At 48.7% G+C, this 13,686-nt stretch overlaps 1 protein-coding gene across 11 annotated transcripts in view, besides 4 other annotated features; it reads right to left on the bottom strand.

The window, feature by feature from the left end:
* Positions 1-13,686, bottom strand: part of EEFSEC (eukaryotic elongation factor, selenocysteine-tRNA specific) — a 272,743-nt gene that overhangs the window by 70,107 nt on the left and 188,950 nt on the right. The window lies entirely within an intron of this gene.
* Positions 7,057-7,351: a silencer, noted in NCBI's record as "tiled region #14760; HepG2 Repressive non-DNase unmatched - State 7:EnhWF, and K562 Repressive DNase unmatched - State 23:Low". NCBI's record gives its function as "represses a minimal TATA promoter and a strong SV40 promoter by Sharpr-MPRA in HepG2 and K562 cells {active_cell/tissue: HepG2 | K562}" and the evidence as "EXISTENCE:reporter gene assay evidence [ECO:0000049][PMID:27701403]".
* Positions 7,057-7,411: a biological region, named in NCBI's record as "Sharpr-MPRA regulatory regions 13692 and 14760".
* Positions 7,117-7,411: a silencer, noted in NCBI's record as "tiled region #13692; HepG2 Repressive non-DNase unmatched - State 7:EnhWF, and K562 Repressive DNase matched - State 23:Low". NCBI's record gives its function as "represses a minimal TATA promoter and a strong SV40 promoter by Sharpr-MPRA in HepG2 and K562 cells {active_cell/tissue: HepG2 | K562}" and the evidence as "EXISTENCE:reporter gene assay evidence [ECO:0000049][PMID:27701403]".
* Positions 12,276-12,689: a silencer, noted in NCBI's record as "fragment chr3:128062271-128062684 (GRCh37/hg19 assembly coordinates)". NCBI's record gives its function as "represses an EF-1alpha promoter that drives an FKBP-Casp9 reporter gene in an ReSE screen in K562 erythroleukemia cells {active_cell/tissue: K562}" and the evidence as "EXISTENCE:reporter gene assay evidence [ECO:0000049][PMID:32094911]".

Below are 13,686 nucleotides of genomic sequence, written 5' to 3'. Positions count from 1 at the left end.
TGTGAACAATCACATGTACTACAGGAAAATAACAGAATTCTCCCTCCATCTCACAGCCCACAGCCTTTGCACTTCTCAGCGACAGATCCTATGAGCTCCCCATCTCTATGCAGCCCCTGGTGCCCAGCAGGGCCTGGCCCTGAGCAGGCTCAAATCAAGGCCTGGTGCCTACAGCGTTCCCTGTGGCCCATGGCTCCCTCTTCCTGTACTCCAGCCCCTACTCCTCTCCAATCTTCATCCTGCCCTGTCTCTCTTCAGAGCACAGATTGCCACCTGACGTTATGCCTTTGACCTTATCTGTTTACTTGTTTATTGCTTCCAACCAGGCACAAGCTCCAGGCAGAAACATGTTCCTCTCCTCCATAGCTACATTCCCTGCACATAAAACAGGCGCTTACTATCTATTCCTTGAATGTGTGAGTAAATGTTGCAAGAATACATGGTTGTAGTTGTTGGTACATTTGCAAGGCTCACTCATGCCTGTAGGCTTTTTTTTTTTTTTTTTTTACAGCTTCATTCAGCTATAACTGATACACAATAACATGAACATATTAAAAGTAAATAATTGGATAAGTCTAAATATGTGTATACATATACATGCCTGTGAAACCATCACCATGATAAAGCTAATGAACATATCTATCACCCCCAGGGTCCTCATGCCCCTCTGTTATGCCTCCCTCCCCGCCTGTGTGGTGCTCCTGTAATGCTAGTCCCAGCTTGTGCACCGGGGACTCTACCCCCACCCAAGGCCCACCTTGGACATTTCCTCCTTCAGACAGCTTCCCCGACATTGCAGGCACCTCCTCTCCCCTTGGCCCCCAGGACTGAGGCCAAGATCCCTCTGTTCTGAGAGCCTGGCCACTATGTCTTATCCCTGACAGCTGACCTATCTGTCTCCCTCCTCGGACTGGGAGTTCTGCGAGGAAAGGGTTCTGTGCACCTCCTGTGGCCCTGACCCACTACAGGCCTGGTGAACAGGCGCTCACTGAGTGTGAGGAGGCCAACTGCACTAGTCCCACACATGGCATCAAGGGGAAGACGCCGGGAGGTAGAAATACATTACTCAAGTGGATATGTCCTTGGGAGACACGATTCATCTGAGAGTGAGCCAACAGCCCAGCCCGGGCTAGTTTCCTCCTATCTACCTGGGAGAACACACTGACAGATCAATTCACGTCCCCAGTGCTGGTTCCCTCATGCTAAACACAGCAGGCCCATCGCTCAGCCTCCCAGTGGGCCTGGAGGCCTGGCTCCAGGGTAATCAGAGCCTGGGATAGCAGGCATGCTACCTATTAGCCTTTCAGAACACGTTTACTGCATCTTCTCCCCTGCCCCCTCCTTTCTTTTGGTTATAAAATATTAACTTTAAAAAGCTAAATGCCACAAAGACAGCAGAGGATCTATCTTTCTCCAAGCCAGGGTCTTGCAATGAGGGCAGACTAATTTTATTAACTTCAGGGGAACTTCAAAAAGCTCCAGGGCTTTCATGCCAGACAGAGATGACCCCAAAGTTAGTTTAAGTGCTACATAAACAAAGGACTAGAGCCAGGGGAAGCTGAGGGCTCCCAGAGTTCCTTGTTTATGTTCTCATCTGACCTAGTGGGCCAGCACACAGGCTGGTTGGCCCCTGGAATCCTGCTGGTGTGTGGTGCAGCTCGGTTCACTGACCTACATTCCCACAAAATTGTTTTAAGCATCCGGGATAAGGTGAGGAGTGAGTGGGCTTTTTTTGACCTTCTGAGGAGGGCCTCTGGGGCTGGAGTGGCAGTTTAGAAAGGATTTCAAGTTCAAAGGGAGTGTCTCTGTCACTCCTGCTCTCTTGTTTTATGGCTTGGCCAGAAGACATGATAGTGCTGAGTGGGTGAAGCATACTCTCCTGCGAACTTCTGTGTCCGCAGTTCCATTTGTGGGGGAGGCACCGTGAGGGCAGGAGCTGGACGTCTGCACACGTTCAGGAACCCCGTGTGGTCTCGAGAGTGCTGGCGTCTTCTGCCTGCTGGTGGCCCCACACTGTCATTTCACAGCAGCTGGGTGGATCTTTGCATTTGTGTCAGTCCCACAGAGGACACTGGCACTCTGGGCATGGCTGCCCCAGGGGAGGGGAGGCTGGAGCAGCAGAGAGAAGTCAGCAGGTAAATCCCATCTCCCTCCAACTCTCCCAATCCTTCGCACTCTGCTCTCTCACCCCTTTCCCAGCAGCAGGTGAGCGGCAGTGTCCTCAGCCATGTCATGGGTGAGGTGTCCCCATATCATTATTTAATCTTTAGGAAAGCCCTGTCGGGAACAGGGGGCTCAGTAAAATGAAATGATTTGCTCAAAGTCACGCAGCTAGTGAGTGTGGCAATGCCCCATTCCAACTCAGACTGTCTGGATCCAGAGGCTGGTGCTTTTCCTGCTGCAGGAAGGGCTGGGCCCTGTCTGCCGGGAGGTGCCGAAGCAGCAAATGAGCCCAGACGACTTTCTCCATCCTTTGGGCTCACCAGAGCCATGTCATGACTGACTGGACACAAATGGGCCTAGAAGTCCGGCCCAGGGGCACTGGGCAGCCCCATCCCTGCTAGTCCCAGTTGTGGGAAACCCCAAGTCATTGCAGAAGACAATCCCCAAGTTCAGGGACCCCAGCCCCCACCAGGTTATTTGGAAGGGAGGAGGAGAGGAGGGAAAGAGGGCAGATCCTGGCCCTCAAGATGCAGCACTTATAGTGGGGCCCAAACACTTCACCATCACAGGAAGGTGTTCCAGCCCAGTCAGCCCCTGCCACACTGAGAAGGACTGCACTGCTGTTGGAGGGAGGCTAAACTTTCCCCACCTATGGTTATAGGGGCCAAGAGGAAAACTACCCTTCCCATGAATTCCAAATACTCAATTTCCAGTAAAGTCTTTACTTGGTGTCATCATAAGTTCTTAGAAACTGTTACTTTAAACAAAATAATGTACAGTAGGCCCTTAAATAATGTTGCTTCATTTAAAGTTATTTGAATATATATCAAAGTTATTTTGTTATAACATGAATGAAAAAAATAGATTGGTTTTGTTATACGTTCTTTCCCTTAAACTCATGGTTTCCAAGAAGCTAGTGACAATGTTAAGTGAGGATTTACTGTACAGGTCTCCATAACTGGAAAAAAATGGGCACACTGGAGACAATAGAATAAGAGAAAAGGCACAGCACTGTTTACATCACAGGTTAGAACCTGGACTCTAGAGCCAGACTACCTGCATTCGAATCCCAAGTCTGGGTGCCTAGGCACTCTGGCCAGAGGCCTAACCTCTGTGGGTGCAGGCATCTCTCCATCTATAATATGGGGAAACAGAGTTGCTGGAGGTTTAAATGGGTGCTGGGGAGCACTTGTAAACAGTTGTTGTTGGTCTGGCCTCTGCCTGCCCCCTCCCTGGGCAGACCAGTCTCCCTCCCTTAGGACTCCCTCAGACACACCACACAGGACTACAGGGGCAGCAGATGCAGGGCCTGTGCACCCCTGCGACTCAATGGCCGCCACCTGCAGATCTGAGAAGACATCGCTGACTAATGGAAGGCCCCCTCTAAGAGACTGCCGGCCTCAGAACCAGACAGAGGGTTGCGCTGGGAATTGGCTACAGAGAAGCCTGTGTGCCTGTCTCTCAGCACAGCAGTGGCTTGTCTACGCCAGCCTCACCAGCTGGATGCGGGGAGGGGAGGAAGGCAGTCCTGGAAGGCAGGAGCTGGTCTGAGCACATTTTTGCATCTCCAAAACCTACACCTCCGGAAATTACTGCTGTGTGTACTGGGGGCAAGGACTCAGTGATTGTCAGCTGCATGAAACCTCATTTAATCAGAAGGAAGTCTGGCTAGAAAGAGGGAGACAGCTCCTACATTCCTACAGGATGCTGTGAGGCCTACATCTCTGGAGAACTTCAGGAAGACCAGGGGTCATGATCTGTCCTGAGTGTCAGGAGGTGAGGATGGGGGAACATGGCTTTGCTCTGTCCTGTCCATCACTAGAAGGTGTGTGCATGCATGTGTGATGGTTGGGTTCTTCACCAAATTATAGATTCTTCCAGCTAAAGGAAAGAGACCTCAGAGATCAGACACAAGCACATCCAATGAGGAAAGACCTTCAGAGAACAGTTGGAGGGTTTTCATTTTGAAATCAATCATTGTGACGTCAAACCAAAGGCAACGCATGTGGGATCTGCTCAATAGGCCTTGCTTCTAGGGAACAGTCCTGAATCCAGGCCAGCACAGTTACAACAATGGCGCTAAGTGGGGATTCTCACTGTTTGCATGAATAATTTGCTCTATTTATTAGCCTTCAGTCACTGGAGGGACTGAGCTCCTGAGGAGCAGTCACTGTGCACATGGAAGTCCAGGCGCTTGCTTACACGCCAGGTGGGTCCCCATTGTCCCTGGCCTTTGAGCAAGGACTTGGCTGCCGGTGCATATAATTATGTCATTACACGTGTGTGTGTCCCTCTTTCAGGGCTTGGCTCCCATGATGAGGCTTGGGAATTGCCCAAGCTGTGAAGTGACCATTCTAATTCAAATTGTAGAAGTGATACGAAGGAAGGCAGGCAAACGTGCCATGAAATGGAGCCCTGTGCCGATTCCAGGTCTGTGGTGAGGAGAACCACGTGCGCAGGACAGGAAGGGCTTGGGAGGCCTGACTTCTGACTCTGCCTCTTACAGCTCTATGACCTTGAGCGAGGGACTTCTCTGAAACTCAGTTTCCTCCTTGAAAAAGGTTGTTGTTAGGATCAGGGGTGTTGATGTTGATGATAACACCTAAGACTTGACAGAGAATGGATGACCCAGAGGAAAGAATCTCAATTAGTGGATGTCAAATTGTGGGAGAAGCAGAAGAATAAGACAGCATTTGGTGCAGGAGATCTCAGATGCACAGAAATCACAAGATCCAGTTATCTAATCTGCCCAAGAGAAGCCAGAAGAACAGAACATGTACTCAACACCAACCACATGCTTGGAGCTGCCCACAGCTCTCTGCTTCTCTCCCTCTTACCCACCCCACCAGCAAAGTCTTCTCGGAGGACAGAAGCCAGCAGTCCTTGGATCCAATGAGGAATGGGAAGAACTCAGAGGCTGCCTGATCATGGATGAGTCCCTTAAAAATGCGGTGTTAACTCTTCTAGGCCACTTGAAAGCCACCAGGATTGACAAATTCTGGAAGGGGACCTAGGATGATGGTGTTGTTCCAGTATCATCAGAAAACTTTCCCCACGGACAGTGTCTCCTCCTCAATGCAGGCCATGGTCTGGTGTGGTGGGAAGAGCAGAGGCCCTGAAGTAGCCCAGGTCTCATCAACGCCTGACCAGCTCTTAAAGAAGAAACAGGTTCTGGGGGAGAGTGACTTGCCCACGGCCACATCGAGCTTGTGCCCAGCTCAGTCCATCAGTTTCCAGAACTGGCTCTTTCCAGCACATCAAGCTGTCCTGACCCTGTGTCTCTATATGGGCAAAAAAGCAATTTTCAAAGGAAGGTGAACAAGCACTCCAGCAGCCAAGCAAGACACTTAGCTATCACAGCCTGATACTGGAAGTCAGAAGAAACGCTGAGGATTTGGGCTGGGACCAGAATACCAGGGCAGCCATTTGATCATCTCCCTGGGGAAAGAGCTTCTCAACCTCTGTTTCAGGGGAACCTCTGTTTTCTCAAGTAGCCTGGGAGCCAATGTGGCCTTCAACCCTCTGGCAGGGACCCAGGGGAGCGAGGGCCAGCAGAACAGGCTCAGTGGCCAGCTAGACCACAGCATGGCTTCCTGCAAGGGCGAGGGGCCCTGCAGCTGACCCGCTAGGGCCCACCAAGCCTGCCAGACCATCCCTGCTGAGAATGATGGGGCCCAAGCTGTGCCAGAGGCAGGTCATGAGCCAGCCTGCACCCCAGGCCAGCACGCTCCCTGGTGCCCTGGGCACATTTAACAAGCCGTCAGCAGTGGAGTGGGGCAGAGCCAGGAGCCAGGAGGCAGCGCCGCTTCAGACTTCAAAGCTGGCGAGTGCTCCTGATGGCGTCTGCATGTTTACACTTGGTTGGGCCAATGCTGCCAGCTCCTGTGGCCCAGCCCTAAGGCCTTCCCTGACCGGCGCCAGTGGGTGCCAGACCCAGGATGGCTGGCACACCTGGCCTTATCCCACCACTGTGGAAGGGGGATGGTGTCTGCTATCACCCTAGCTGGGAACCCAGGCATCTGCATTTCCAGAGGAAAGTCCAAATAAATAGTACTGATGATACCCACTGTTTACCCAGGGCCCATTCTGTGCCAGGTGGAGTACTCAGCATGTTACATATAGCACATATACCTGCCATGTCCTGGGACCCAACTGCCAGCCAGCTAACATGCTAAGGTTGGGTATTGTCTTTGTCCTGCAGGTGGTGTGGACCTAAAAGAGATTTCTGAGTAAGAGCTGGCAGGACCCCCTTTGTTTTGCAGAAAATTACTGGGGTGGAGCTATGCATGCTGCCAGGGGCAAAGAGGGCTATGGTGAGACCCATGAGAAGGTGGTGGCTTGGGGAGGTGAGGAGGGCATCCTGGGGCGTGGTAACAGTGAGAAGTCTGCTGTGGAAGCCAGCAGGTATTGCAGAGCACTCACTGTCCTAAGCACCAGACCCTCACCTCCTCCTTCATGTTCACACAGTCCTGAAAAGTCATGATTTGTTACTAGTGGAGAAGCCTGGCTCCATAGGGTGAGTGGCTCCCAGACCATTGAGCTCTGCGGCTCCAGACGACCAGGTGCCCAGAGCCTCAGGGCGAGACTGGGATACAGAAGGGTAGGTGAGAGAGGCTGAGCCTCCCCTCTCTAGGCTGCCTGGGCCGGCCCTGCTCCAAGGATTTCTCTAGCACAGGTGACCTAGAACACCCCCCATAGCCCCCAACCTGCATTACTCCCCCCTGCAGGGTGAAGGGCCTAGCTTCGATGGCTGGCCCTGCCTGCCTCTTTAAGCTCCCTGTCCCTGCCCTCCCAGATGCCCAGGGCCAGGCATTATTTGGCCTCTATGCTTTACAGAAGCAGTCCCTGGACCTGGAATGCCCCTCCTCCACCTTCCTGTTTCCCCACATGGCCCCTAGTGTCTGTGCAGTGAACCTTCCAGTCTTACAAGATACACTTAAAAGGTCACCATTTTGTGCTTTTCCCTCACCAGCCTACTTCCTCCCACCTTGGCAGAGTTCCTTGTTTCCTCTCCTAGCCCTCTGCATATTCCTCTGATGCAGGCATGAGTCTCTGTCCTCCACTAGAAAGACCCAGTTTTCTATGAGGCTTTGGATCACTAAAGGAGGAGCAGCTGGTCTGAATCTGCATGTGGCTGAGATGCAAGTAACCTCCTGGGGACAGGACCCAGTGGTTCCAGCCTCGGCTTTTACACATCCTTCACCCCACATCATTTTTGCCAGATCTTTGCATACCCGACCTACTATTTACCTAATATATTTCTTTACATCTGCCTGGAAAGGAGACTTTATATAGTATCCTAAAGAAAAGAGTCACTAACCATAAACAGAGGAAGCTAATAGTAAAAGTACATACCATGCAAAAAAACCCCCAAAGAATAATCCTAGTTACATACTATTGCTACTAGAAGGCTCTGGAATCTTGGTCTTGTTTTCCATTTGTTAAAAAGCAGGTTAGAATGTAATAGAGGACTGTTAAAGACATCTTTGAACAAATCTAAAGCTTTCTCTGCAAAGTAATCAAAAGATTGAAAGAACACTGAAAAAGAGAAAAATTTTATTACTAAGATTCAACATTCTATGATAGTATGAGAAACAGCCTTAATCAAATGAGGAGCAATTTACTAGAATATGTGAAAGAATGAACACACACACACACACGCACACACACACACACGCACACGCACACACACACACACACGCATGCACACTTTGTATCTCTCCATATCTGCCTATATCTATATATAACTGCTTTGTTTCTCATTTTAGTGGTTCATGATTTTACTTTCTAAAATCTATTAGGGTTTTTTCTCTGTGGCCACAAATACAACTACAATCTAAGTTCCATGTGGGCAGAGATTTTGTCTTTTTCATTCACTGTTACCTCCCTAGCCCTTAAGACAACACACAGTAGATGTTCTACAAATATTTGTTTAATGTCAACTGCTGAATATTTAGTTTTGTAAATGTTCCAAGCCATAGGAAAAAAAATGTATACTCTATTCAAGGAGTGTAAGAGTTTACATTTATCTAAAAATCAAGCTTATTGAATATATTCTGCCTCGTTGTCCTTATGTCTAGTAGGCCTGATTTTAAAATATGGACTCTGAAGTGCCACCCTATCATTATAATTCCATCTTTTATCAAGCTGTCCCTAGGTTTCTACTGTTTTATTTTTATGTTTGGTATGTACAAGTTTATAACCGAGCCTTTTATCGTTACATGATGTCCTTCTTTACCTTTGTCAGTATTTAACCCAATCTCTCAGCGTTAGCATTTAAATAGAATTTGGCCATTCACATTTAGTGTAATGACTGATACTTAATGTTGTTCCTTCTGTTATTATTATTATTTATTAACATTGTTCTTTTTTCCTTATTTTTGTTGGTTTAATCAAATTCATTCCAGTTTCTCCTCTGAGAATGTGAAAGTGCTATTACATTTTCACTGCATTCATATAGTTTCTTTCCCTTTCTCTGTACTCAAAATCTTGCACATATTTCTATATTTTTACTTTGAAACAGGATACCAACTATTTCCCTTATCACCATATGCTCTAGTAGTCTTTCCTAAACCCTCTCCCCAGAAAGATTAGCCATTTAGAACACTTTCACTTCTTTTCTTCTCCCACTCAGGTGAGACCTCTGGATGTCTCTACCAATCCAAGCTCCCTCTTCTTCTTTTTTTTTTTTCTTCATTAACCCTTTATTACAAGTCACACTCTTATAGAAGTACACGTGGACTTATGTGAAAAAATCAAATGTATCCAAGAATAAAAAACACAGCACATAAAGTAGTATATGCATCCCAGTGTTAGCACAGAGACAGTGGGCACCCAAGAAAAAGCCCAATTCCTAAGGACTGCTGAGAGGGTTTAATGCTTTCAGCTGCAGATAATTATTAGCATTTTCCTCGCAGGGTGCTCATTCTATTTCAAGAGCCCTATTAACCATTTATATTAGGGGTTGGAAAACTATAGCCAAAGGGTCAAATTCTTCCTGATACGTTTCTGTATGGCCTGTGACCTAAGAAGGGTTTTTATATTTTCTAATGAGTTGGAGAATATCAAAAGAATATTATTTTGTTACATGTGAAAACTATATAAAATTTAAATTTCAATGTTCACAACAAAAGGTTTTATGGGAACACAGTCATGCCCATTTGTTTACATATTGTCTATGGCTGCCTTTGTGTCACAGTGGCAGAGTTGAGTAGCTGAGTCTGAGACCTGATGAGGTGCTCAGTAAACTACAGATGGTGGTAACATAGTTACAACTTGCAGTACCTCACCCAGTGACACATTTTATTTATTTATTTATTTTATTACTGGTGCATACCCATCACATGAAAACAAGAAAAGTGGACTTCAAATGTCACACTTTTAAGGCGCAGTGGGTATGGATTATTATTTTATCACATTACATGGCAAAGTACTGTGTTTGTTATTAGTTGTGTTAACAGAATATGAGATACACTGACATCACGATATTCCCATCTCACAGAAAAACAATGTCAAAAAAGAGAAAACTTAAAACAGTATATTTCATCATAGCAGACACGCAAAACAATAAAAAATAAGAATAAGGCTGCAACCAAAGTAGGTTTCCGGGTGGCTCATTTGTTAGCCAAGCAAGGAAAGCCATTTACCAATGGTAAGTTAATTAAATTGTGTTTGATCGAAGCAGCTGAAAGAAGAATCCAGAGAAAATAAGCTTGTTTAAGATTATTAGATTTGGAGCAAGAGCAGTTGTTTAGGTTTGGCCCATGGGCCATAGTTTGCTCTATGTAATACTAATGAGTTAAGCCACAACTGGTAGGGTACCTGACCAGCTTCCAGTGTGAGCCAGTGATGCAGACGCACAGGAAATAAAAACACAGTCTGCAGAGGCTTGGAAATTAGCATCTTCTGTGTTTCAATAACTGTCCTCAGCATCACATATTTACATCACGCTGTTATTTTCTTTCTAGACCTTATTATAACCTGAAAATGTCTAATTTACTGTTCACTACTAGCCTCCCCTAGGAAGACAAGAACTTTGTCTATCTTGTTGTATGCACAGTGCCTGGCACAAACGTAGGAGCACAGTAAACATCCGAATATATGAATGAAGGATGCCTTTATAGGAAATGGGATCAGAAGGCCTATATGCCTTAAGCCCCCCTGGCGGAAAGTGCTCACTTAACACATAGGTATAGTGCCAGGGTCTCCCTTTGTGATGAACTGAGATAGCTCAGAGACCCAAGCCCAGGTTCTCAGAAGGCTAACTGTGCTTGCAAAGTAGATGTGCTGGCCTTGCCCCGAATCACAGAGCAAAGGCTGGGTGCTGGCTCACCAAGGTGGTGGAGATTCTGCCCAAGAGACTGGATTTCACCTTTTCAAGATTCTCTGATCTTCCAGAAACTTCTTTGAATAGACATGTCCAGAAAGCTGACTAGTAACTGTGATGTGCCCAGGAATTTTTAGAGTCAGCCAAGCACGGTGGGGAAAGAAGAGCATAGGGCACTTCTCTGGCCCCTGCGCTGGATAACCACACCCATGAGCCTACCAGACTCTCAGCCCCTCCCTCTTCAACCAAAACTGTGTGGCTCCTGATAGGGACCAGGGGGATTGGCTCCTGTGCTTCAAAGAGAAATAATGGAGTCCCAGGGAAAAGAGTGGACCCACGCTCCAGGCATTATTATTTTGACTCTAAGAGCTTAAACATTAATAATGATAAAACAATAACGATGCAGTAGGAGACAAGCACTGATCTCAGAACCTTATGTGCAATCCCCCATCTCACCTTCATCTAACCCTGGTGCAGCACTGTGAAAATTCCCACTTAACATGGAAGTCTCATGGTCTGCTCAACTTTTCACACTAGCAGGTGGTAAGGCTGGGAGTAAATAAAGCCCAGGCTTGCACATTGGACCAGTCTGTCGGATGGCTGAGCCCCTGGTCAAGCAAGATGACCTGAAAATCTCTGGGTGATCTGGGGCCTACTCAAAGCAAACAGGGCTGCCCCTTTGGAACAAACTCAGCCAATCACTCAGGAGCTGCAACAGGAACACTACCTTCTTGCTTCACCTGATGAGAGTCGGCTCTTACATATGAAGCCACAAGCTATGGTGGCTCTTTCAAAACAACCTGATGAGGTCAAGACCATCCTTCGAAGGAATGAACAATTGAGATTAAATGGCTGCCCAAGGCGTACAGCTGTTTTGGGTACAGCAAGGGCTTGAGCCTACTCTGTATGATCTCCAAGTTCCACCTTACCAGGAAGGAAAGTCTCCCACCAAGGAGATTCGAGCTTTTCAAGAGAACGCAGACTCTTTTGACACACTGGGCAAGAATCTGTCTGACAAAGTGGAAATTTCATGACTCAAAAGAGACCAGCTAGTCCTGAGTTCAAACTCCAGCTTTACTACCCTGTGACCTTGGGCAGGTCACTTCACATTTCTTGGGCTGGTTTCCAGTCTGGCTGCCTTTGGGGAGGGGACCTGGGTTCGTAGGAAGAAAACTTCCTTACACTGAATAATTATTGTCTTGTTTGAAATTTTTTACCATGTGCATATATTACTTTTCCTAAATATTTGCACATAATTTGATTGATTTAATTGGGGAAAAATGTACATAGGAAAAATAATGACCTCTTCCTCAGGGTTATTAAACGGTTTCAAAATAAAGTATGTAGCTAGTAAAGGCGCATAGTATATGCTTAATCAGTAGAGTGGTGACAGAGTGGAGGGAGGCAGGAGGCAGGCTCATTCCTGCCCTGGGGCCCAGAGGAGAGCATGTGGCACAGAAGCCCCAGCCTACAGCCAGCCCCTAGCATTAAGGCAGGTGCCCATTCAGCTAGAGCCTCAGGGGGTTGCGAGTTGGGGGAGCTGCTCCTAGCCTGGGCACCCATGCCCTTTCCTCCCTTGTGGAGCCTCAGGAAGGCCTTCTTCCTCGACCAAAGCCCTGGGCTCATAGGATCTCACCTCTGCACACATCCACAGTCACCCTGTGAGGCTGTCCCTGGTTGGAGGAAGCCTGTCTCTGCTCAGGGTTGTCTATATGGGATTTGGACTCAGCTTCTGTGGACTGCCTACAGTTCTTGTGCTTCCACTTCCAGCCTCCCTGGACTGAGCAGGAAAATGCTGGTGGCCCCAGGTTGGTGGAAGGACATAGGCCAGGCATGTCTCCTGGCCCCTCCCTCAGCCCTTCGGAGGCATGAGTCATTGAGGCCATATGTTTACTTGCTCCTCACAGACCCTCCCTCCCAGTTCTCAAAGGAAGTGACTGCTGCACCGCTGTTGACAGGCCTGAGTGGGAGCAATTAGACCCAGGAGCCACACCAATTGGGATATTACTCTCTCATAGATATTTTACTATAGAATAATTATACTCCAAACACTGCTAATAAATCAGGCTAGACAAACGAGTGACACACACTTTATCACCTTCATCTTCAATCAGCATCTTGGGGCTGGCCTAAGGCTGATGGAGCCCTGAGCAGGCCCCAGCGGCCCCCCCGGAGCTAAGGGTCCAAGCTCTGGGTCTGAGGAAGGGAGAGGAAGGGGTTGCTCCTCAGTCCCCCACTTGAGGGCAGGTCTAGGTACAGGGGCAGGAAAAGAAGAGGGCCAGGGTGGAGCACCCAGGAAGAACCTAAGACAAGGAGAAAGGGAGGGGAAGGGGCTGCAGTGACAGAGAATTCCAGACGAGAAAACCAGTGGATTTTCTCCCAGAGGAGAAAACCTGTGGACGGAGACCTGGAGCGGAGGGTGGGCGATGGAAGCCCACCACATGTGACACCGTGGATGGGCCAGATGTTGTGCTGGCACCTGCACTAAACCCAGGGGACCTCATCAGGCTCCTGTGAGGAACTGAGGCCCTTGTTGAAAGCCTCAGGGCAGACCCCTCCTGCTAGGAGCCTGAGCCCCCGACAGTGGGGTTGCCAGCACTCCGTGCTCTTTAAGCCAGTCAAAGCCCAGTCATGTCCCAGTACAGCTGCTGCTGATCCGCTTGGACCCACAGCCAGGGAGCTAGCCTTCTAGAAGAGACGGCAAGGTTTGGCTGTCCATCCATCCTGCCTTCAAGGCCCGATGGGCATGGATTCCCACTCAGCACTGTGTGGACAGCTGCTGGGGATGGATGCCCCATGGGAGGAGGTGATTCCACTACTTTGGGGGAGACCACCGTGTTCTGTCCACCCTAGTGGCAGGCCCATCCCACCCAGCACTGGGCCCAGGTGCTGATGCACCACAGGACCAGCCGAGGGAGGCCCAGGGCCCAGTCAGAGTCTCCTGGGACAGAGCAGGCACCACCCTGAAAGCACAAGGCCAAGGGCCGCCCAGCAAGGCACAGCCAGGGCCTCATCCTACTTCAACTAGACTGGCTCACCTACATGCCTAAGGCCTGCATCTAGCGATGGTGAACTTCAGGCACCCTAGGTAGCCAGGGGCTGGACCTCCCACTGTGTCAGCTTCCTGTACCTTCCTTCCTCTTGCTCTCTGGCACCCTTAGCCCCTTCCCCTCAGTCCACAGGTGAGGAAAGACCTG

Source organism: Homo sapiens, chromosome 3 (genome assembly GCF_000001405.40).
Source record: "Homo sapiens chromosome 3, GRCh38.p14 Primary Assembly".
Classification (NCBI taxonomy): Eukaryota; Metazoa; Chordata; class Mammalia; order Primates; family Hominidae; genus Homo; species Homo sapiens.
The sequence above is the reverse complement of the archived record's forward strand: the minus strand, read 5'-3'. Positions and strand labels throughout refer to the sequence as shown.